Below are 23845 nucleotides of genomic sequence, written 5' to 3'. Positions count from 1 at the left end.
GGGGGTTGAGGATAAATACCAGGATCCCCTTCCTCCTGCCTTTCCCTCTGCTGCTGGTGCCTCCCATCAGCCAAGCACACCTGGGAGCTGGAAGCAGGGGATCTCTTTGAAGCAGTCACTTTGGGACAGCCTTGAGGGCACAGAGCGTGTGAAAGAGCCTGGATCCAGAAATAACCATGGATCCAGCACAGTGACTGCATCCTAGCTGGCCTGAGACAGTCGTGGCTTTGCCTCTTGTCCTAGCCTAATCATAACAGTCTCCTGTTTCACTCTAAAAGAAGCCCAGTTTGCTCAGTAAATTACATGCTTGCCCTCCCTGGGCTTGAATGGGCCAGGATGAAGAGCTGCTAGGCTTATAGTCAAGCAGGGTGCCCTAGGACAGGTTGAAGTCTCTCCCCATTTTAAATGGGGAGATGGTTTCTCATTGCAATCAGGTTTCTTTCTGTCTCCCTTTATTCTCATTGGAAGCCAATGCTTTTGATCCCTCTTATGCTACTGGGTATCCCTCCCACATAGCTGAGACCCATCCTTCTGTTCAGATGCTGAGGATGTGGTATGAGTTGGATGAGGAAAGCCGAAGGAAATACCAGAAGAAGGCGGCCGCTTGTCCTGACCCCAGTCTGTCTGTCTGGCGTCCTGACATCTACTTTGCATCAGTGTCAGAAACATTTGAAACAAAGGTTGATGACTACAGTCAAGAGTGGGCAGCTCAAACAGAGAAGAGTTATGAGAAATCAGAGCTTTCTCTCGACAGGTATTGACAGTGATTTGTTGCACAACATGTGCAGGAGAATCTGCCTCCTAGCCCCTGCCTCCTAGCCCCTGCCCTACTCACTCCGGAAGAGGGCTGCCTCCTGGGTTTGAGACTTCAGCTAGAGGGAGGGCAGTAAGACAGCCAGGGGCAACGCACAAGCCCCAAGGGCCCAGGAGTGAACAAGTGCAAGGGAGGCAGGAGTGGACACCCCCATCTGGGCCAAGATAGGGATAGTGGTCTGCTGGGAGGCTTGCAGGAAAGTCTGCTCTCTTGGGTTTGGTGTGGTGGGTGGGGCTGACTGAGAGTCAGGGAATCTGGTCACTGTTCACCTGCTGCCAACCGTGTGACCCAGGGCAGGTCATTCATGCCCAGGGACACCAGGTCTTAACTTCTCATGAGGCCTTGGATCCGATTACTCCAGTAATCCTTTGAGCTTTGGGTTCCCATTTGAAGGCCTCAGCTTGGACTAGGACAGACACACACACACACACACACACAGACACTGTAGCTCAGCGCGCGCGCGCACACACACACACACCTTTGAGCTTTGGGTTCCCATTTGAAGGCCTCAGCTTGGACTAGGACAGACACACACACACACACACAGACACTGTAGATCAGCACACACACACACACACACACAGACACTGTAGCTCAGCACACACACACACACACACAGACACTGTAGCTCAGCGCGCACACACACACACACACACACACACACACACACACACACACAGTGTAGCTCAGCGCTCCTAGTGGCTGTTCTTAACAGGGTCAGGCTTCATAGGAAAAATGGTTAGTAAATTACAGAATCGTGCGGCATGAATACTTCTGATGTGGTCTGCAGCCATTTGCACTAACTAAAAATATAAACACTCTCATCACCCCCATCCCCATAATGGCCTAGTGAACCTCTTTCTAATTTTTATAGCAGGAGGTTTAAACTGTCTCCAAATTGTCATAATTGAGAAGAAAGAATGGATAAAGGAAAAAGTGAATAATGAACCCAGAAATTCTCCTGCTTAGGGGGCTTGTGGTAACAGTCCCAGAGTGGATATGTGACATTCTGGGGGCAAACATGAGGAGTCCAAGCATGAATGTCTAGAGCTTCAGCCACCCAGCTGGGATCTGTGCTGTGTAATTTGAGGACATCTCAGGGTCACTGGTGGGAATTTGAAGATTAGAGGGATCTTTTGCCTAGGAAAAACGAGTCCAGAAAGAGGTAGAGGTTTCAGTTTTCTGGTTTCGGGCAGCATTGACAGTCTGTGGTGTCTGCTCCTGACCCCTGCCACAACCCCCACCCTGACCCCCCACCACCGTCTCTAGGTTGAGGACCTTGCTGCAGCTGAAGTGGCAGCGCTCACTGTGTGAGCCGGGCGAGGCTGTGGGCCTGCTGGCTGCCCAGAGCATCGGAGAGCCCTCCACCCAGATGACCCTCAACACCTTCCACTTTGCAGGCAGAGGCGAGATGAACGTCACCCTGGGCATTCCAAGGTGTGGGGCACAAGGGAGCACAGGGTGGGGTCTGTCCTAGCCTCTCCTGGAGAAGGGGCCATTTAATGAGAGGGGGTGAGTGAGTGTGTGTGAATGAGAGAGTGTGTCTGTGTGAGAGAGGGACAGGGTCTCATTAAAGTGGGGATCAGGGTTAGAATTTCCAGAGCCCAGCTGGTTTCTTTGGTGCCCAGGCCTGGTAGGATCTCCATTTATTCCTCTGCCAACTCCTGCATCCACGTTCCTGGGGATGCCTGTGAGACTGCACACTGCTGGGGGAAGGACTCAGGAACGTACATTGTTAACAAGCCCCACACAAGGTGCCTGGTTGCCCAACTCCAGGGGAGCCATTCACATAGAACGTGCCCCCACGTGGCCCTGGGCCCTGGCCCTTCAGGTAAATATATGTGCTGGACAAGGGGAATGAGTGTGGGGTCAGACCCATCTGCATTCAGTCCCTGGCCCTGCCTTTTTCTAGCAGAAAGACTCTGGACAGGTACCTCACTTTCCAAACCTCAGGGGGTCCTTCTGTGGAAGGCCAGAGGCTGGGACCCACTATACATCCAGGCAGTGAGGGCTGGCTGAGCTCAGCAGGAGCACTGTGGGTGCTAGTTGCCTTCCCTGCATCGCTTGTTCATTCAGTAAGCGTCAGCAGGCACCTGTTGTTTGCAAGGCACAGGTGATAGGAAACAAGAATCAGACAAAGCCCTGAGCACAAGGAGTGGGCCCTCCAGGGAGGAAACTGACAGGGGAGTCCCTTACTGTTGCACACGAGGCCAGAGCTGGGATTCTCTGATCTAGCATATTATCCCTGTGAGATCCCCAGGCCTCTCTCAGATTCCAAAAGAACTCTGACATCATTAGGAGAAGCTGCACCCAAACAGAAGGTCTGGTTGCCACTCATGATTGGATGTGCCCTTATTCTGTGACAGGTTGCGGGAGATTCTCATGGTGGCCAGCGCCAACATCAAGACACCCATGATGAGCGTGCCCGTGCTCAACACCAAGAAAGCCCTGAAGAGAGTGAAAAGCCTGAAGAAGCAACTCACCAGGGTGTGCTTGGGGGAGGTAACGTCTCTCCTTCCCAGGTTGCAGACGGGGTGAAGGCATGTTCCTATATCCTCCCCATGTGTGAAGAACAGGCTTTGCTTACTGCTCTGACCCTAGGCTCAGATTCCCACCAATGAGAGATAAGCTGTCTCTGCCAGGTGCTGAGCAGAGATGGATCAGGAAGCTTTTAAGAGAGTCATTAGTTCCACAGCATCCTCCTGTGCCTGAAAAATAAACCATTTCCTGAGTTTGCCTACCCGCTCTGCTGAGGCCACTCCTAGGAGGTTCAGGCCACTCTCTGGAGGTGACTGCAGGCTGTGGGCCCCCCAGCAGATCCACACCAGTATAGCTCACCAGGGTTTCTTTGGGGTTTGGCCTGTGGTCTCAGCTGCTATCTCTGTAAACCCTTGGGTCTCGTAACCCACTCACATTGCGCAGTCACCTAGGACCTGAACAAGTCAAGTTCTCTCTGTCCGTCTGGTTCCAGGTGTTGCAGAAAATTGACGTCCAGGAGTCCTTCTGTATGGAAGAAAAACAGAACAAATTCCAGGTGTACCAGCTGCGGTTTCAGTTCCTGCCACATGCATATTACCAGCAGGAGAAGTGCCTGAGACCCGAGGACATCCTGCGCTTCATGGAAACAAGGTCAGGGCTCAGGCTGTGATTGTCATTGACCTTGACCCAGAGAATGCGCTTGAACTGGGGCAGGAAGCACCTAGCCACAAGGCTCCTAGAGATTGAGTGCCTTTGCCCAAATGAGCCCTTCAAGGGAAGTGTTTAGGAAGCAGAGGGCCTTGCAGCCTGATCTGGAAACCTGACCACAGTCTGGCTTGTGGGTATGACTTTCTTAGCCACACGTCACTCCCTGAGCCCATTTCTTCTCTTGGGTTGACGTCAGGATTGTTGTCTTCTGGGGCTTGCAGGCATTAAGACATGGAAATGTGGGTGTGGTAAAGAGAAGGGAGCACCATCAAAGCGGTGCTTCTGTGGTGTCGGAGCAGCACATGCTGTTAATGTTTGCTAGGGTGTTACTGCAGGCAGTATAATGTGGTTCCTGATGCATTTAGATTCTGTGAATAATGAACAATGTGCGGGTGGCACGCTGCTGTTAGATCTCCATTCTATAACCAGGATTGCCTCCAGAGAAATTCGAGTTCCTGTCCCGAGTTCCTGTCCAGTAGGGAAAAGGAACTTTTGTCTCAAGTTCAAGTTACTGTTAGATATTTGAAAAGCAGAGGCCACAATGCTGAGTTCCGGGGAGCAGGAGGATGGGCTTTTTGGGGACTGGGGCAAGACTGGAAGAGCCCACGAAGCATTTTTGACTCACCAGCTAACCCTAGACGGTGAAGTGTGAACACAAAAAGGCTGCATAGCCCAGCAGGTGACAGGCCAGTGAAGCAGGCTTGGAGGCCCCCGGCAGACTGAAGAGTGTGGAACCTGTCTCAAGGGGCACCTGTTACTATGCAGGAATGGAGGCCCGGGGGGCCACATCTTTTGATTTAAAAAGAAAGAAAACAAGCTTCCCACCCCCTACGTTTTTTTCTTTCTTGGGTCACTTGTTTACTTGCCTTTGCTTTTATATAATTGAGGTCTCCTGACTTTTAAACATCAGCAACTAATTCATGTGTTTTTAAAAGCCCAGTAAGGCCCAGATGGTTCTCATCTGTTGCAGGATCTGGCCACAGGCCACTGACCACTGCCTCTAATCTAGACCAGTTCTTGGTCTTCTGGGAGCTGCTCAGATAGAGAAGCAATGACAGAGCAGAAGCAGAAAGCTCCCTGCACTCAGCCATCCCACAAACACATACTGAGCCATGCCCATTCGTCGCTGAGTCACGGGGGCAGGCGTGGGCAACACAGTACGACTTTTCTGCCCTCAGCCCTCTGCCCTCTCACCTTATGGGGCCTGGCCTCGAGCCAGCCCTCTGTGCAGGTGGCATTTGGGATGGTGGGTCTTGGGGTGGAGGAGCTTGGATGTGAACTCAGTCCTTTGGACGGGGGTCACTGGCCAGGTGCTTCCTGCCCCAGTTCACGAGCCCTGGGTGAAGTTGTTGTTGGCTGGGCCTCAGGAGCACCTGCGTTGGTGCCAGCCTGGGCTGAGAACATTCCTTCTGTCGAGTGGTCCTCTGTGCTATCTGGGCACTGGGCAGAGTGGCAGGGGAGTGCTGTGTGCACCCGCCTGCCAGCTCCTTAATTAACAGCGAGGAACATAACTACCAAGTGCAGGGGGCGTTTGTGCTGGCCTGGCAGTGGTTTTCTGGGAAATGGGAATTCAGATTTCATGGCCTCTAGAGAATAACTAAGGGTGGACGGAGTTAGATGTTTTGCCCCAGTTCTGTTCACAGGAGGCCCAGGCCAGCCCAGCAGGTAGGTCGGCATGAGGCTGGCGCCAGCCCATGCTGGGGTTCTTTTTACTTATATTACCTCATGGAATTGAAAATAGGAAATCACTTTTTAAGACTTCTTCCTGATGAGGGACAGCCCTGGCTTGTTCCCAGCCGTGAAGTACTTTTTCAACTCCTCCCTGTGTTTTGCTTGTGAACTTGAAAATCTGTGATAAATAAAGCCATGCGCAGTAGCTTTTGGTGGAGGTGGCCTCAAGGACTCAGCAGAATGGGGCTGAGGGGTTAGGCAGAGCTAAAAGATGGGGCAGTGGATGAGCTGGGTGCGGTCTGGACTCCCTTTGTCAGGCCCCAGGCAGCAGAGCAGCTGTGTTCAGGCCTCTGGCCGCCCACAGGAAATGGGAGGAAGTGTGAGTGCACTTTCAAAAGAGCAGCCAACCCCCAAGAAGCTTTTTCTCCTTCCTTTCTCCCATCCCTCCCCCTTCCTTCCTCTCTGCCACCCTCTTTTTCTTTCTCTTTGCCCCCACCCTCCCTTCTCCCAGCTGTGGAGTCATGAGACCCTTGACAGAGCCTGGAGAAAAACAGCACGAGACAGATGGTTCCCTAGGTAGAGATATACAAGCGTAGAAGGCCCCCCAGATCTCTGCACTGGCACCCATCACATGGGCTGTTTGTGTAAATTGTCTGGCAGGTGGCAGGGGAGATGAAGTGGAAAGAGCACTGAGCTAGGAGTTAGGGGCTGTAAGTTTTGGCCTCCGGTCCCCAGCCATGAAAAGACCCAGCTGACAGTCTGTAATTGTAGCTTCTGTGAATCTGACTTTCCAAACAGCAGGTGGTGGAGCTGTTGCCAGGCGCGTTCAGAAACCGCCAGGGGTCATGTGCTCTGTTTGTAATTATTTACGTGGGACGGGAGGCTTCTCTGCCCCTGCCCCTCCTGTTCCCTTTCTGTTGCTACATTCAGGTGAGCTGCACAACCTTGAGAAGGCAGTCACTGTGGGCCGTTAGTTCCCCTGCTCTTGGCAAAACCATAGAAGGGCAAATTGCACCTCCAGGAAAACTGGCACACTGGTCACATGCCTACCACTTACTCACCAGCCATTCATTCTGCCTTCTCACCTCCTTCCCTCCTACGTTCTCCACAAGTCCTGGTCACCAAAAGAGGCAGGGAAGGCAGAAGGCATCCCCAACTGGGGGAATCAGGGAGGGCTTCTTGGAGGAGTTACAGCTGCTGAGGCCTGGCCTTGAAGGATGAGTACAGCTTCAGTAGGTAGATATTGGCCAGGGAAGTTACTGGCAGAGTGAGCCGCTCAAGCAAAGGCCCAAAGGGTGCACAGGGTGGAGGGAGCAGATGGGCAGTTAGAGTTGAGGCCAGATGTGAAATGCTGGGGGCAAAAGCATCAGAGCCGTGACATTGCCACAAGTTGAGACAGGCTGGGGCGCCCAGCTGAGGGAAGCAGCCCTGTGTGTGGCAGCAGCTGAGCCCCGCACCCCCACTCCGCCTCATTCCATCTCCTCTGCTCTGCACAGTAGCCTCGGGTGCAGAGTGAGAGTGATCCCATGTTGCAGATGAGATCAAGGCCCTCCTCTCCAGTCTGTGGCAGGTCAGGACTTTAACCTGAACCTGTCCTTACAGAAACATCTCTCCCACCCCCTCTTTCCAGTGGGATTGTATCTTTCTAAAGTCAAGCCCGGCCTTCTCTCATCTGGCTATCCTGTTCCTGTCCCCAGTGCCTGGTAAACAAGCTCTTCTCTGGATTAATGGATGAGGGGGCTTTTTTTTCTGCCAAGGGCAAACCACGTACACCTTTAAAAAGTTAAAAAATAATATTGGGGTCTGGGTGCAGTGGCTTACCCTTGTAATTCCAGCACTTTGGGAGGCCAAGGCAGGTGGATCACCTGAGGTCAGGAGTCCACAATCAGCCTGGCCAACATGGTGAAACCCCGTTTCTACTAAAAATAGAAAAATTAGTCGGGCATGGTGGTGCATGCCTGTAATCCCAGCTACTCAGAAGGCTGAGGCATGAGAATCGTTTGAATCCGGGAGGCGGAGGTTGCAGTGAGCCGAGGTCGCACCACTGCACTCCAGCCTGGGGGATAGAGAGACTCCATCTCGGGACGGTGGGGGGAACTAATAATAATAATATTAGGGAAGATGAGTGGCATTCTTTTGTTTTTAATGAGCAAAATAGTATACATTTGACCTGCCTACTTTTTCAAATGAAGACTCTAAGCTCCTTGAGGGCCTGGAGTCTGTCTTTTCGTCCTTGCTTTGCCACCAGGGCTGGCACATGCTGGGCACAGTATAGGCGCTCAGAGAAAGTGGGACGGCTGGCTGGATGTGTGAGGGACCCGATTCTCACAGTCACAAGCAGCCCTTTTTGGTGTGCTATTCTGGCCTGTTGGAAAAGACAGGCAGGGGGTTACATGAGGAAAGAAGTGGTATGGAGGGGACAGGGTGGATCCTAAGAGGCCCTAAAAATAGATGGCTCTGGAGGAAGTGGCAGGGGGCCAGGTTCTGAGCTTCAGGTTGGTTCTTTTAAATTGGTGTGGTTCTAACTTGTTGACACGATTCATTGCCACAAGCTAAGTTATCTCTGCCCTTCGAAATTTTGATGAGCCCTTCCGAAGTCCTCGTTCTTTCGTCACATTGCCGGGGCTCCCACACCAAGGGAGTTCTCTGGCCAGAGCAACACCACCTTCTGGAGATGCTGCAGGTTGTGGGCAGGGGAAGGTCCTAGTCCTGGGTGGGGTTCCCCTCTCCTACAGTAGATTCTGCCTTCCTTGTTAGAGGACGACCACAGCGGCACCTACAACTGTCCTTCACCAAGCACGCACTCTGCCAGGCGCTGTGAGAGGAATCAGACATAGGGTTGTTTCTCATCATTAGCAAACAAGATTGCAGAATACGTAGTAATTCCCATATTTTCTAGACAATGGGGCTTAAAGCTGAGGAAGCTGCCTGTCCTACTCATACCCCGGGAGTGGCAGTGCACCTATTGAGACCAGGCCTGTTGGACTGTGGAACCGGTGTTCCTGATACGCCAGAGACGGTTCCAAAACAGCGGGTAGGGACAAGTGAGTGGCTAGGAGAGGCTGGGCCTCCATCTCGTGCACTGATCCCCTGTGGGAATCCCTCAGCGTCCTATCCCCCAAATGAGGGTAGGGCTGGACATGCTGGTACTGCACAGGGCTTTTTGGCTTTCTTCTTGTTTTAGATTCTTTAAACTTCTGATGGAATCCATCAAAAAGAAGAATAATAAAGCATCAGCTTTCAGGAACGTAAACACTCGAAGAGCTACACAGCGGGATCTGGACAACGCTGGGGAGTTGGGGAGGAGTCGGGTGAGTGAGTCCCCGGGGGTCACTAGAGTTGCACAGGGACAGCCCCCAGACTGGGCAGGCTCTGTGCCTATTCTCTGTGCTCCTCCAGCCCCATCCTGGTGCTGGCCCATCTCCTACCTATCTCAGCTTTTACCTGCTGTTCTGAGAGCCCAGAAGCAGCATTCACTTCTTGGCCTGATGGGCCAGGCAAGCGAGGCTGCCAGGCAGCATGGTGTAGCCAGCCCCGGGGCAGGCCTCCGCATCATAGCTCTGCTCTCCAAGAGCCCGCTGTAAGTGGTCTTCATCCTGAGGAGGGACTCGAGGTCATGGCGTGCGCTGAGCCTTTGAAAGTTCTTTTTCCGGTTTCCTTTGGCTCTGCCTTCGACTTGCCCAGGCAAGATGAACTGAGGCCCACCAGGGCACTGGCAGGGACCAGAGAGGTATCTGGAAGCAGAGAAGTTGGGCTGCAGTGACAAAAAGGGGAAGAGGGAAAAAACCAGTAGGAGCAAAATAGTCCAGGAATAAATAATCAGATATCTGCCAGGAGACCCAGGAGCAGGCCAGACCTGAGGGTGGTGTGGGAGCAGGTCCCTGGGTGCCATCTGAGCCAGCAGCCAGCCTGCTTGGGTTGGGGATGATGTGGACTGGGACTACCCCCAACCAGCTCTGTGGTCTCAGTTGTGTCACCCTTCTCTGGGTCTGTCTTCTCACCCCTAAAATGAGGGGCTGGCCTACACCAGGGAAAATGCTAGGTCTCTCCTGCTCCGTGAGTTCACCTGCTAGCTCACTCAAGCACAAGCGGGTGTGGACTATCTTTAGAATGCTGCCTGGTCTTGATTCTTAATTCACCCAGAAGGAGAGTATAAAAAACTAGGAGCCAAGTTCAGGAGGAGAAAGGAAGAGATACTCAGTATTCTACAAGATAACCCTTCCTTCTCATCCCCACCTGCAACTGGGTTTGATCAAAAATATTTGGAACAATATTTGACACCATCTTCTTCTAAGAAAGCAAGTCCTGGCACTTTTTTTTTTAATTTTTGGGAATGAAACTTTGCAAGTAAGTGGTGCATGTAAAGATGAAGACTGAAGGGAAGGAGGCCTGGGTTCTGGGACTGGACAGAGTAGATGCCAGTAGACGGGTTGGGTTGGGTGGCAGTGGATGGAGGGTGGTGGCTGGATGGGAGAAGGGGTTAGAAGGGTGGGGCATGGATGGATGGATGGGTTGGTGGGTGGATGGATGGATTCACTGAGCACTAGATATTGGAGTTAATCTTTTTCTTCCTTGCCCACAAACCACAGGGAGAGCAGGAGGGTGATGAGGAAGAGGAGGGGCACATTGTGGATGCTGAAGCTGAGGAGGGGGACGCCGATGCCTCTGATGCCAAACGCAAGGAGAAGCAGGAGGAGGAGGTGAGAGACCCTGTGTGGGGTGAAGGAGCTGTGGTCCCAGCCCCCTTCCCTGTTAACCTGGAGGGATTATCTCCCGGCACCCAGGCCACACCTCTGTGTCATGAACCCACAAGGAACCCTGAAGCAGCACCTGCCTGCCCAGCATACCTCTCTCTTGAGAAGATGGGGTTCATAGGGTGGGAATTTGGCACAGGTCCACTCCAGGGCTGCCTTTTAGATGTGGCCATCCCTGGACTTAAATCGGACTCAAGGATCCAGACAGGCTTCTGGCAAGAAAAAGTCAGGCTGCCTCTGGTTTTTACAATGAAAATATACCTCTCTCTCCTCCCACAAACCAGTCTCCTGCTGTCATAATGGCCGAGGGAACTTACCGGTGAGCAGGTACACCAGTGAGGGCTGAGTGAGGGTGAGCTCCACCTCTGTGAGGGGCTCAGGGGGACAGAGAGGTGGCATTCTCAAGGCAAAAGGAAGAAGAAAGACCAACCAGGCCGGAGCAGAGGAGCCGGGAGTGTGGAGCAGGTGGGGCCTAGGTAGCCCAGGCCAGCCAAGGCTTTGCAGGGGTCTTTGTTCCACAGGCAGAGTCCAGGTAGATGGTGGGTCCCCAAGTGACACAGCCTGTGCTCCCTTTTCTGCCAGGTTGATTATGAGAGTGAGGAAGAGGAGGAGAGGGAGGGCGAGGAGAACGACGATGAAGACATGCAGGAGGAACGAAATCCCCACAGGGAAGGTGCTCGAAAGACCCAAGAGCAAGATGAAGAGGTGGGCTTAGGCACTGAGGAGGACCCGTCCCTTCCCGCCCTCCTGACGCAGCCCCGGAAACCCACCCACAGCCAGGAGCCCCAGGGGCCCGAGGCCATGGAGCGCCGGGTCCAGGCTGTGCGTGAGATCCACCCGTTCATAGATGACTACCAGTACGACACCGAGGAGAGCCTGTGGTGCCAGGTCAGTGTGGCCGTGCAGGCCAGGGCTTGGGTGGTTGGTCCAGCTGGCCAAATCCCTCTGTGGAAGGGGCCTGCTGAGCTCCCCTGCACAGCTGGGCAGGGGGCAGCCAACATTCCCCATGGTCTCCCACTCAGAGCACAGCCAGGCCTCCTGTTTGGGGCCTGCGAGAGTCATTTGTTCTTTTTAATCCCAGATCCCTTTAGGAATCTGGTGATGGCTATAAACCCTCTGCCCCGAAAAAGGGCCCACACGTGTCATTTTCAAACCCCTAGTAAGCCAGTTCTCCCCGATCTTTCAAGACACACAAGACTGATCTACCAGGCCCTTTAGGTACTTTCAAATACACCACCTCCTTTAATCTTCAGTACAACAGATATGTTACCATGGACCACACGTGTTGTAGAGACACTGTTCGTGCCCTCAGGCAGGGACACTTCAGTTCCCCACACACACAGCCCCTGCCACCATCTTTTTAGGGATTTCATGGTTCCCTTAAAGCCTGGATGATCTGGATGCCTAGACATGTGCACACACTTACGCTTTGTCTTTCCTTTGATCCAGTTCAGTGGTTCCCAAGTGATGGGGTAATAACAAGAACCACTGATGGGATTGCACGCGTGAAACAACGTGTACCCTGCCTTGTGGTCTTTAAGGACATTAAGAGCAGTGCAGAGTGGATGTGAATCTCAATGTTGTCACCGACAGCTGTGAAAACAACCCCACTGTTTCCCCCTGAATCTGGGGGACTGGAGATGGCTGACCTGTACACAGTTCAGCCATCTCCAATGTTCAGACTACCTGCTGGCTTGCCCAGCAGGACCACTTTCCCCCAGCCAGGGAGTTCCTGAAAAGGTTTTGAAGGAGTCTCGCCTCAGTCCTCTTTGTGGGGACTGGAGTAGCTGTCACCCTACCCAGCTCTCCCTCCTTTTGCAGGTGACAGTGAAGCTCCCTCTGATGAAGATCAACTTTGACATGAGCTCCCTGGTAGTATCTTTGGCCCATGGTGCCGTCATCTATGCGACCAAGGGCATCACTCGGTGCCTCCTGAATGAAACAACCAACAATAAGAACGAGAAGGAGCTTGTGCTAAACACAGAAGGAATCAACCTCCCAGAGCTATTCAAGTATGCAGAGGTAAGACAGGCTGTCTGCTGGCCTGGGACAAAGCATTAGTCCTCACCCCACGTTGTCTCAAGACCCAGCCACTGGGAGGCTCGCTCTACGCGATTTACTCTGGCCCTTCCTGAGCCATTTGTGCTTCCAGGCCACATTCCCCAAACCAAGTGTGCGTGTCCTCGTCTGCCTCCCGGGGATTCTGGGGCACGTTAGCCTCATTCAGGTCCCCAGTAAAGCACCCTGCTGAACTTATCCAACCCAGAGTCGCCCGGGTTAATTTGAGTAGAGTTTTTTCCTTGAAATTAAGACCCTCGGGCCGGGCGTGGTGGTTCACACCTGTAATCCCAGCACTTTGGGAGGCCAAGGCAGGCGGATCACGAGGTCAGGAGATCAAGACCATCCTGGCTAACACGGTGAAACCCCTTCTCTACTAAAAAATACAAAAAAAAAATAGCCGGGCATGGTGACGGGTGCCTGTAGTCCCAGCTACTTGGGAGGCTGAGGCAGGAGAATGGCGATAACCCAGGAGGCGGAGCTTGCAGTAAACCAAGATTGCGCCGCTGCACTCCAGCCTGGGGGACAGAGTGAGACTCCATCTCAAAAAAAAAAAAAAAGAAAGAAATTAAGACCCTCCCGAAGTAGAGTTGTGAGAAATCATTGCTGCATCACCTGCCTAGATGCTGTTTGCTTTATCTGGTAAAGGGGGTCCCAGGGGTAGAGGTGCCCTGGCATTCCTGTCCCACCTGCTCACCAGCTCATCTGTCCTTTGAGCTGTGTCTCCAAGTACTCCCACTTCACCAACTCTCCCAGAACTTTCTGGGTTTCCCCCACAGAACACTGAGGAACTGGGGCCCTCTAGCCTAACCCCCCAACAAGTCTATGCTAAGCTGGCAAAGCTCCCCCTGCCACGTACACTTCTGCCCCCACCAATGACCACCCTGCAAAGTCTCCTGCTCCCCTGAACCCTTTTACCAAACACTTCCCAGAGGATGAGCAAGGAGGATTGGCACCTGCCAAGAGTGCAGGGTGAGAGGCTCCTCCAAGACAGCTCAGCCGCACCTTGGCCCCTTGGTAAGGCCCAGCACATGCCTGTGCGGCTGACTGGCCCCCACTCCATGCACCCTGGAGGGGTGTGTAATGTGTCGCTGCTAGGGGAACTTTCCTTGCTTCCTAAGGGAAGCCTTAATCCTAGTAAACAGGTCTCAGTTTAAAAATAAGAAGAAAAAATCCTTTTCTTCCCATTGAATCTAAAGCGTGTCCAAAGTGGACACGCTGGATTCTTGTAATGACGATACAGACCTTGGGCCCCGGCCAGCGAGCCGTCAGCAGCTCTGCCTAGCCATTTCCTTCTGCTAATCCTGGGCCACCTCTTGACCACTTTGTCATCAGCTGTACCGAGCTGCCAGACACAAGGAGAGAGAGAGCGGCCAGGGGGAGATACGCAGGCAGAAGGGAGCAGAAGGCCAGGCCCTCTAAATAAATCCCTTCCTTCCTCTCTCCAGGTCCTGGATCTGCGCCGCCTCTACTCCAACGACATCCACGCCATAGCCAACACGTATGGCATTGAGGCCGCGCTGCGGGTGATCGAGAAGGAGATCAAGGATGTGTTTGCCGTGTATGGTAAGGGGAGCTTGCAGATAACACCCCGAGGTCTGGGCACCAGCCAGGACACCAGAAGGCTCGGCAGGAGGGTCAGGACCGTGTCGGTCCAGCACCGAGTCAGTCCAGCACTAAGGCAGGCACTGCAGCATGCGTGCAGTGAGTGCACCTGTAGGAGACTGCAGATCTGTGAAGAGGTGACGTCTCCCATCACTGAGACCGCTTCAGTGGTGTCTCATCTGCTGGTGCCTTAGAGAAAGCTCCTGATTGATAACTTGGCCCCATCCTGCCTTTGGGGTTTCAGTTCCCAAGTGAAAACAGTGCGGTTAGATCCTCATTTCCTGTGCTGCTGGAAGGAAGCGGGAAGCAGGATGCAGGGGTCAGGGAAAGATGCCCCAGACCACGGGGAAGGGTTAAGTAGCGTGAGCAGGTGGCGGAGCTGAAGGGGAGCCCCAGAGTCTAACTCCCAAGCCATGTGCTGATGTGGAGGCAGCTTGGCTTGTGTCTGCTGACTGCTCCCGTGGTCACTGCTTAATCCCTCCTAATTTTACCTCCCGTTTGACAGGCATCGCGGTCGACCCTCGCCATCTCTCCCTGGTTGCTGATTATATGTGCTTCGAGGGTGTTTACAAGCCACTGAATCGCTTTGGGATCCGGTCAAACTCTTCCCCGCTACAGCAGATGACATTTGAAACCAGCTTCCAGTTTCTGAAGCAAGCCACCATGCTGGGTTAGTGCGTGGGCAGGAGCCCTGGCCTCCCCTCTACTGACGACTCTGGGCACACGGGCTCACCCATGGGCATCTTTCCATGGTTCCTTGCACACCAGTGGGATCTTGGGATCTGAGGGGAGCGGGGGCGGCTGGAGGGGGCTGAACAGCAGACACGACAGCTGCCTCTACGCTTTGAAGGAACAGGAAGAGGGCCTTCCCCTCTCAAGTGCTAGAGGGGGGCTGCCTCGTGATCCCATCAGCTTCAGAGACTCAGGACCCACCTGAGTCCCGAGACTTCAGTGTTCAGCCCCATAATCACCTCATGACATTCCCAACTTCTACCTCAACACCCTGACACATGTTTTTGTGTCTCTGTCAGGATCCCACGATGAGCTGAGGTCTCCTTCTGCCTGCCTTGTGGTCGGGAAGGTCGTCAGGGGCGGGACAGGCCTGTTCGAGCTCAAGCAGCCTCTGAGATAGCAGCTACCCCGGCACCATCTGCCCAGCTCCAAGGACCCTTGGTGAGGGCGTGGCCCAGCCTGCCTTCTGCATGAGAGGACCAGGAGACTGGAATCCAGGGCAGTTCCAAGTGACAGTACAGAGCACAGCAGCGACCTTGGGCCTGAAAGCAGTGGGCCTCTGAGCTGGGCCAGCTTCACCTGGAAAGTGACAGAGTTGCTCATCCTTGCCCCTCCCTGTCTCTGGATTTTTATCAAGGTTTACCAAGTCTTCTGAGTCCCCCTGAGATGGCTGGGGCCTCACCTGTGCTGCAGGAGGCCTCTGTGGCATAACCCCTAAGGAGAAGTCCTGATTCACGATTCACTGAGAAGACCAAGGGGAAGCCATGCTTTGCTGCTGGGGACCCCAGGCACCTCCAGAGTAGGGAAGCGGGGTTCTTTTGCTGTGAGTGGCCAGGGACAACAGACAAGATTCCTGGGGGCTCCCGATGAGCAGGAACGTGGAGCCTGCTGCCCAAGGCCTGCTCCTTCCGGCTGCTCCAGCCCCTGGGGGCAGAGTCCACAAAGAGTCCCCATCAAGACTTCTTCCCTGAGTCAAGTACAGCGTAGCATAGTCCTCCACCCACCCAACCTCTCTGCCTGGCCAGGGTCCTGGCCCTGCCACTGTGTGGCGAGGTGTCCTTCTAGACCACATCAGCCCCAAGGCTGGGAGCAGTCGCTCCAGGGCCGCAGCAGTTCACTCCCACACATAGAACCCAGGTCACTGCTGGGGCGATTGAACAGGTTGCCTGGCTTTTCTCTGCTGTCAGTTTGGTGTGGAGGCCTATGTTCTGCCCCATACACCCCACAGGCCCTGCTTATGGGAAGGAACACAGGCCTCCAGCCCAGAGGACTGTGCCGCCCTGTTCTTGGCCGTCCACGTTTCCTCTCCCTCTAGCACCAGCAATACATTTCCCTGGCATGGACAGAAAAGACAGAGAGGACTTATACAAAGGCTTTGTAAAACCAGAGGCTAGCTTCTATCTTTGTCTACTGTTATTTCAGCTCAGGGCGGGTAATTAACATCATTGGAACTAGCTATTAGGAAAGAAAAAAAACTTGGTTTTTTTTACAACAATTTTTTCCCTTGGTTTGCAGTTTCTGCATTTGGATTTGAGAACCCAGGGCGGGGATTTTCTTGGCACAGTCAGGTCTTGGGTCCCTCTTCCTGTGCTTTCTTGTCTGAGGCCTTAGGGGGAAGAGCTCAGCCTCTGCAGCCTCCTCCACCTCTGCCCCTGGCCTGCCTCTGCTGTGACCTCCTTCCAGAGCTAGCTGCTGGCCCTGTGGCCAGGAGAAGCAGAGGGGAGAAGCCTTTATGCAGAAGCTGTGCTAGCCTTGGTCTGGGGTGGGGAGGCTGCTGCTGTGACCTTAGGGGTAGGGTTGGGGATCAAGGGAGGCTTTGTCAAGGGAGAGTGACCATGTTGCTCCCTACATCCATGCAATAGGACCCAGCCTGCACCTCCTAGGCCTACACTGGGGAAAGCCTGACAGAAATCAGTACCTCCTAACGGGGTCTGCCAGGTTCACCAAGGCATGGGCACAGAGGAATATGACAGTTTTGAGGCAGGCAGGAAGGGCCCAGCCTGCAGGGTAAGACATTCATTCTTTGAGTTAAAGGCCATATTCACTTGATGATTTCTACACACACTAGAATTGTGAGAGTGTCCTTGAAGGAGATCACAAAGTAACCTGGTGACTGTGGCACAGGGTCCGTGGATTCCATCTCTCCCAGGCACTGAGGGCGCAGAGGCGAAGGAGCAAGCCCTGCATATTGGCAGGGCTGTGACCATCGCACTTAGATCAGACCCCCGACCTGTGTTGGGATGTGAGGGATGCCCTCCTGCCCCACCCATCCACATGGTTCCTGGGCAGCTCTGTTTTATTCCTGTGTCTTTCCTGATGGATGAGTATTAAGACAGCATGTCTGGTTTTTAAACAGACATTTGGGAGCTTGCACATCCTGATGAGCAGGGACTCACTGTGGTGGCCTTAGGGAATTACACGCTCACTTTGGTGGTTCTCTATGCTCGGAAGCCTCTGAGAGTGGCCTTGGCAGCTTAAGATGGCAGAGGCTTTGGAGTCTTCTTAGGACTGTAAGTGCCCATTGAGGATGCATTTGAGTTTTGGAAAGTAGGCCCAAGTCAAATCTGATGGATGGATTCAAGAACATGGACTAATCTGCGTTGTCATTTTTAATCAAAATGTAATGGAGATTGATCATCTGGTGGGGTTCACAAACTTTTCATGAGAGCTGTGAGTTCTTTTTTTGAGATGCACTTTTGCACTTGTTACCCAGGCTGAGTGCAATGGCGCAATCTCGGCTCCACTGCAACCTCCATCTCCCGAGTTCAAGCGATTCTCCTGCCTCAGCCTCCCGAGTAGCTGAGATTACAGGCATGCGCCACCACGCCTGGCTAATTTTTGTATTTTTAGTAGAGATGGGGTTTCACCATGTTGGCCAGGCTAGTCTCGAACTCCTAATCTCAGGTGATCCGCCTGCCTCAGCCTCCCAAAGTGCTGGGTTTACAGGCGTGAGCTACTGTGCCGGCCAGAGCTATGAGTTCTTTCAGAATCCTCAGATGCCATTAGCTAGCCACTGTTTGGACATCCTTCTCACCTTGCCCTTTGGGGTGATATCCATACCTACTTGCTTGCTTCTAACAGTTTTTTTATTTGTTTTGTAGAGACGGGTTTTGGTTTATTGCTCAGGCTGGTTTCAAACTCCTAGGCTCAAGCGGTCCTCCCACTGTGGCCTCCCAAAGTGCTGGGTGGTGTGAGCCACCGTGCCTGGCCAGTTAATTTTTTTTAGTGTCTCTTTTTTGGGTTCTCACCAGAAACACTATCAGCATTCCCACAGATATTCCTGTGAGTCTTTGAAACATTTTCTATCCTGCATTGAGTAAGAATAAAACCGAGGAAGGGGTGAAGCACCTTGTCTCATCCCCAGTCTGGAACTTGAACCTTCTTTTCTCTTCACTTTGCCCTACCCCCAAATAATATGTACAAATGTCTGTATCCATTGAGCACTAACTCCCTATTCCTTCCACCTCCCCAGCCCCTGGCAACCACTGTTCTACGTTCTGTCTCTACGAATTTGACTTCTCTAGGTCCCTCATACAAGTGGAAAAGTACAGCATGTCTTTTTGTGACCGGCTTATTTCACTTAGCATAATGTCCTCAAGGTTCATCCATGCTGTAGCATGTGTCAGAATTGCCTTCTTGCTTGAGGCTGCTGATACCTCCTCATGTGTATATACCGTATTTTGTTTAATCACTCATCTGTTGGTGGACACTTGGGTTGCCTCCACCTCTTGGCTGTTGCAAATAACGCTGTGAACATGGATATACAGATATCTGAGGCCAGGCCAGGCGTTCACACCTGTAATCCCAATACGTTGGGAGGCCGAGGCGGGCAGATCATCTGAGGTCAGGATTCGAGACCACCCTGGCCAACATGGCAAAACCCCATCTCTACTAAAAATACAAAAATTAGCTGGGTGTGGTGGTGCGCGCCTATAATCCCAGCTACTCGGGAGGCTGAGGCAGGAGAATCTTGAACTCAGGAGGTGGAGGTTGCAGTGAGCCGAGATTGCGCCACTGCACTCCAGCCTGGGTGACAGAGTGAGATTCCGTCTCAAAAAAAAAAAAAAACAAAAACTCAGACCCTGCTTTCCTTTGAATATATACTAGAAGTGGAATTGCTGGATCATATGGTAATTCTTTAATTTTTCTGGGGGAACTGCTGTCCCATTTTCCACAGCAGCTACACCATTTTATGTTCCCACCAACGGTGTACAACAATTTCAATTTCTCCACATCCTTGTTCTTGTTAATAGTAGCCACCCTAATGTGTATGAGGTGCCATCTCGTGGTTTGGTGTGGGCTGTGTTTCAATCAGATGTTGGGACCCTTAAGTGTTCTGCACCTGGGGAGAGTTAGGAACCACTTAAGGAGTGTCTGTTGCTTGCCAATCTTAAAATTTTTAGTTTGCACCTGAATCAGGGGCTGTCAGAGTCCAGACTGCTCTTGAAATAGAAAAGACTGGTCGTTAAAGGCTGGTTCGTTGAGTCTTTCATCGTTGAGTGATACCACCTCTGCAGATGGCTCAGTGGGGCAGCCCCGTACCACAGCCTGCCCTTGAGGTTGTGTAGTTTAGATAGGTCACAGAGTTGCTGGGCCTACCGCAGGTCTCCTGACCCTGGTGCAGTTTTACTTCAATTACAACCACCAAAATAGCTACAGTCAAAAATTCCAAAGTTCCTACACCATCAACCTCCACCCCACTTCCGTCCAAAGTCCACTTAGAGGCTCTCAGTTTTGGACCTTAGAAACACTTAGGGAGCTTTTTAAAAAGATCGATTCTGTATTTTTAGTAGAGATGGGGTTTCACCCAGCTACTCAGGAGGCTGAGGCAGGAGAATCACTTGAACCGGGGAGTTGGAGGTTGCAGTGAGCCGAGATTATGTCACTCCAGCCTGGGCAACAGAGTGAGACTCCGTCTTAGGAAAAAAAAAAAGATTGATTCTGGCCGGGCACAGTGGCTCACGCTTACAGTCCCAGCACTTTAAGAGACTCAGGCAGGAGGATCACTTGAGCTTAGGAGTTTGAGACTAGCCTGGGCAACCCAGTGAGACCCCGTATCTACAAAAATTAGCCAGGTGTTGTGACATGTGCCTGTGGTCCCAGCTACTCAAGAGGCTGAGGTGAGAGGAGCAAGTGAGCCCAGGAGTTCAAGGCTGCAATGAGCTGTGATCGCACCACTGCACTCCAGCTCGGGTGACAAGAGTGAGACCCCGTCTGAAAAAAAGATTGATCCCAAGGCCTTGCCCAGATTCTGATTTTATTGGCCTGGAGTGTGGCCTAGGCATTAGAAAATCTTCAAGAGAGTCTAAGGTGCAGCGGAATTGAGAGCCACGGACAGAAAAAGCCCTAAATTGTGGAAATGCACAGCCACCGTCACCACCTATCGGTACGATGACATCTCAAGGAGTCACTGGCCCTAGGTTTCTGCAGTAGGATCTTAAGATCTGATCTCTGCCCTCAAGTGAGTGCACGTGCAGTAAAGCTGTCATCGTGCCATGACAGATGTCTGCAAGGACTTTACAGTGGGGTCCAAAGGATGCCACCATCAGCTCCACCTGGGGCTCAACAAAGCCTGAAAGAAGAAAGGGATGATGCTTCCAGCAGAAACCTGGAGGCCTGCAGCTCTGCCAGCCCAGCACAGCAAGCGAGGCCATTTGTCCAGCAGGGGCAGAAGGAGGGAACTCAGCCAGCCAGCGTTTCCTACAAGCAGCTCCATGAGAGGTTTCCACTTAAAATGCTAAATCATAATTATTTAATCAGATTCGTTCCTTAAGTTCTTTAAGCAGCATCGCTGTCCTACCACGAGTGGTCATCAAGGAGCAGGGTTTAACTCAACTCTGAGTTACCCGGCAGGGTACCTGGGTAACTGCCTGGGTTGAGGTACCCAGCAGGCTTCATGTGCATGTGCACACTGCCCCCTGATAGGACCTGGTTTATTCACAGGCTCAGGTGTCACTGCAGCTCCCCAGTGACTATCTTCGCGCAAGTTGGACTCAATGGCCTGGGAGGTTTGTCCCAGCCGACAGATACCTGACCATGCCCATCCTCACCATTCCCTCCCCCATGCTGCATCCATCCAACCTTGATCTCCACTGTGTCCCAGGCACCCTAAGATGCACAAGCTATGTGGGCCCTGCCCTCACAGAACTTGTAGTCTTCTGCCCCAAACAAGCCAGTTCACCGTCTTCATGATCAGGCCAAAGGTTGAGGTACCCAGCAGGCTTCATATGCACATGCACACTGTCCCCTATAGGACCATGCCTTGCCCAGCTGGCTGCACTCTAGAGGGTGCTTTGTAGGAAGGACAGAGTGGAGAGGACAGTGGGGAGGTACTTGGGTGTTCAACAGCCAGAAGGGAGGGAAACTGAAAAAGAATCAGGAGTCCAGCCATCCCCTCCCCACCTCCTGCCCCCACTTCCACCCTGGCTGCTGGCCCTTTGCCCTTGAATATGGGTGATATAGGTGTGGCTATTCAGTTCCAGTCACAGTGCTGCCTCTATGTCTTTTGCAAGCTGGGGTCTTCCTTACTCAGAAGGCCTGGAGGCCCTGCCAGATGCTGCCTTCCGGACTGGCTGCCCGCTGCAGTGTTTTCACGGGAGCCAAGCCAGCCCCGGGCCTGTAGCCTCCCATGTGACAAAGTTTCAGACACCACAGTCCTCAGCTGGACCACAGTAAACACTTGCCTTCCCCAACCCATGATTCTTGCTTGGAAACATGAACCTGATGTTCCACGTGCGTTCAGCCAATCAAACCTCAAGAATGTGATTGAGCAGTGAGGCTGCGTTTTGGGCAAGACACTGAGCTCTGAAATAAGACTTTTCTTGGAATCTCAAGCCCTCAACTTACAGTGGGACCCTAAGAAATGCACTTCAGTTTCCTTTTATGTAAAATGGTGGTAAAATTAATTGTGTTCATTAAATTGCACACAACTATACATGTTTACCTATACACTAAGTGGTTCTCAACTTGGGGCAATTTGCCCCCCAGGGGACATTCAGCAGTGTCTGCGGACATTTTTTGTTGCTACTGGAGGGAGGTGCTACTGGCATCTAGGGAGTGGAGGCTAGAGATGCTGCTAAACTACAGTCCACAGGACAGTCTCCACAGCAAAGAATTGTCCAGCCCCAAATATCAATAATGCCGAGGTTGAGGAAACCCTGCCACATACACATAGATGCGGGTTAACATTGTTTATTTTACAAAGTGGAATCATTTACATTTTAGCCATTCTGATAGATGAAGCAGTGGCATCTTTTTTTTTTTTTTTTTTTTTTTGAGACGGGGTCTCACTCTGTTGCCCAGGCTGGAGTGCAGGGTTGCAATCACGGCTCACAGCAGCCTCGAAGTCCCAGGACCAAGCAACCCTCCCACCGCAGCCTTCCAAGTAACTGGGACTACAGGCACACAACACCATGCCCAGCTAATTTTTTAATTTTTTTGTAGAGACGGGGTTTCACCATGTTGCCCAGGCTCAAACTCCTGAGCTCACACGATCTGCTGCCTTCACCTTCCAAAGTGCTGGGATTACAGGTGTAAGCCACTATGCCCAGCCTCATTTGTACTTCAGTTTGCAATTCTCTATTAATAAATCTAAGCATCTTTTCACATGTTTATTGGTTATTCTGATTTGCACTTCTGAGAACTGCCTATTTGTATCCTTTGCCCATTTTTCTATTGGGTTATTGGTATTGCTTTTGTCAATTTTAAAGAATTGTATTTACTATAGATATAGATAACCTTTTGTCACTGTGCTAAACATTTTTCTCCCAAGCCAGGTAAAGAATTCAGCACAGTCCCTGCATTGTGTAAAACCTTGAGTAAAGATGTTAGCTCTTGGCCACCCAGGCCAGTGGCCGCCTTTAGACTTTGGCTAGGGCTTCTGGAGCAGTTTTTTTTGTTTGTTTTGTTTTTGTTTTGTTTTGTTTTGTTTTTTGAGATGGAATCTCTCTCTGTCGCCTAGGCTGGAGTGCAGTGACACAATCTCGGCTCACTGCAACCTTTTCTAAGGTACATAGATTGATTGAAAAAGCACAGCTGGGCATGGTGGCTCATGCCTATAATCTCAGCACTTTGGGAGGCCGAGGCAGGAGAATCACTTGAGGCCAGGAGTTTGAGACCAGCCTGGCCAATATGGCAAAACCCTGTCTCTACTAAAAATACAAAAAATTAGCCAGGCATGGTGGCACACGCCTGTGGTCCCAGCTACTTGGGAAGCTGAGGCACGAGAATCACTTGAACCTGGGAGGTGGAGGTTGCAGTGAGCCAAAATTGTGCCATTGCACTCCAGCCCGGGTGACAGAGCCAGACTCTGTCTCAAAAATAAAATTTTTTAAAAAGGCAAATTACCTATTGTGATGGATAAGAAGACTACACTTACAGCAGCATGTCCAGTTGTGCTGGAGGGGACTGTGGTAAGAGCAGAAAATTACCAGAAATCAGGAGCAACATGAAGCAGCCCTGCCGTCATTCGTGGCTTCTGCTTGGCTCGCTTACAAATGCAGGGGCTCACTTTGACCTGGAGCTCACCAGGTGCAGGCTGGCCCCAGTCTTTTATACCTGTTCATCCATCCACTCCTCACAACCACCCAGTGAGGGAGTATGGTGACTCTCCTCGTCTTACAGTAACTCACCCAAAGACATAGTCATCAAGTCGTGGAACAGGAATTTGAAGCCAAGCAGGTGTCTCCAGAGTCTGGGTCCTTAATCTCCTCTCTGTGTCCACCCCCTTTGCTTGGACAGACCCTGAGGATTGGACTTTGTTAAAGGCTGCCCTGCATGTGGTATGGCAGGTAGATGTGAGGGCACCAAATGCCTCTCCAGGCCCCAGAACACCTCTTCTAAGGTATGTCTCTAGGAGGTACAGACGAGACTACTAGGGGGTGGGGTCTGCAGTTTATCTAGTTGGGGAGCTGGCAGCTCACAAGAGATGAAATTAGAGCAAATGAATAACAAGCAGTCACCTTAAGGAACTGAGACTCCCAAGTGATGGCCCAAATCAAAGCACAAGTCAATATTGAAGAGTTTG

At 52.1% G+C, this 23845-nt stretch overlaps 1 protein-coding gene across 1 annotated transcript in view, besides 5 other annotated features; it reads left to right on the top strand.

The window, feature by feature from the left end:
- The window catches only part of POLR1A (RNA polymerase I subunit A), an 85671-nt gene extending 63244 nt beyond the window's left edge, over positions 1 to 22427 (top strand). The window contains exons 24-34 of the mRNA NM_015425.6: positions 540 to 754; positions 2084 to 2251; positions 3181 to 3316; positions 3786 to 3943; positions 8856 to 8982; positions 10261 to 10371; positions 11008 to 11313; positions 12247 to 12447; positions 13932 to 14049; positions 14594 to 14758; positions 15120 to 22427. Coding sequence (NP_056240.2) covers positions 540 to 754; positions 2084 to 2251; positions 3181 to 3316; positions 3786 to 3943; positions 8856 to 8982; positions 10261 to 10371; positions 11008 to 11313; positions 12247 to 12447; positions 13932 to 14049; positions 14594 to 14758; positions 15120 to 15220 — 1806 coding nt within the window. The 3' untranslated portion in view covers positions 15221 to 22427. The remainder of the gene's footprint in view (positions 1 to 539; positions 755 to 2083; positions 2252 to 3180; positions 3317 to 3785; positions 3944 to 8855; positions 8983 to 10260; positions 10372 to 11007; positions 11314 to 12246; positions 12448 to 13931; positions 14050 to 14593; positions 14759 to 15119) is intronic.
- Positions 3186 to 3316: an enhancer, noted in NCBI's record as "conserved acetylation island sequence 34". NCBI's record gives its function as "activates a minimal heat-shock promoter by reporter assays in Jurkat T cells {active_cell/tissue: Jurkat}" and the evidence as "EXISTENCE:reporter gene assay evidence [ECO:0000049][PMID:17135569]".
- Positions 5945 to 5994: a silencer, noted in NCBI's record as "silent region_11710". NCBI's record gives its function as "represses an Ori minimal core promoter by ATAC-STARR-seq in GM12878 lymphoblastoid cells {active_cell/tissue: GM12878}" and the evidence as "EXISTENCE:reporter gene assay evidence [ECO:0000049][PMID:35858748]".
- Positions 6665 to 6724: an enhancer, noted in NCBI's record as "active region_16151". NCBI's record gives its function as "activates an Ori minimal core promoter by ATAC-STARR-seq in GM12878 lymphoblastoid cells {active_cell/tissue: GM12878}" and the evidence as "EXISTENCE:reporter gene assay evidence [ECO:0000049][PMID:35858748]".
- Positions 8719 to 8922: a silencer, noted in NCBI's record as "fragment chr2:86260844-86261047 (GRCh37/hg19 assembly coordinates)". NCBI's record gives its function as "represses an EF-1alpha promoter that drives an FKBP-Casp9 reporter gene in an ReSE screen in HepG2 liver carcinoma cells {active_cell/tissue: HepG2}" and the evidence as "EXISTENCE:reporter gene assay evidence [ECO:0000049][PMID:32094911]".
- Positions 19468 to 19527: an enhancer, noted in NCBI's record as "active region_16150". NCBI's record gives its function as "activates an Ori minimal core promoter by ATAC-STARR-seq in GM12878 lymphoblastoid cells {active_cell/tissue: GM12878}" and the evidence as "EXISTENCE:reporter gene assay evidence [ECO:0000049][PMID:35858748]".

The sequence above is a fragment of the Homo sapiens genome, chromosome 2, assembly GCF_000001405.40.
Source record: "Homo sapiens chromosome 2, GRCh38.p14 Primary Assembly".
In the NCBI taxonomy this organism is placed as follows: Eukaryota; Metazoa; Chordata; class Mammalia; order Primates; family Hominidae; genus Homo; species Homo sapiens.
This window is presented reverse-complemented; position numbering and strand designations above follow the sequence as displayed.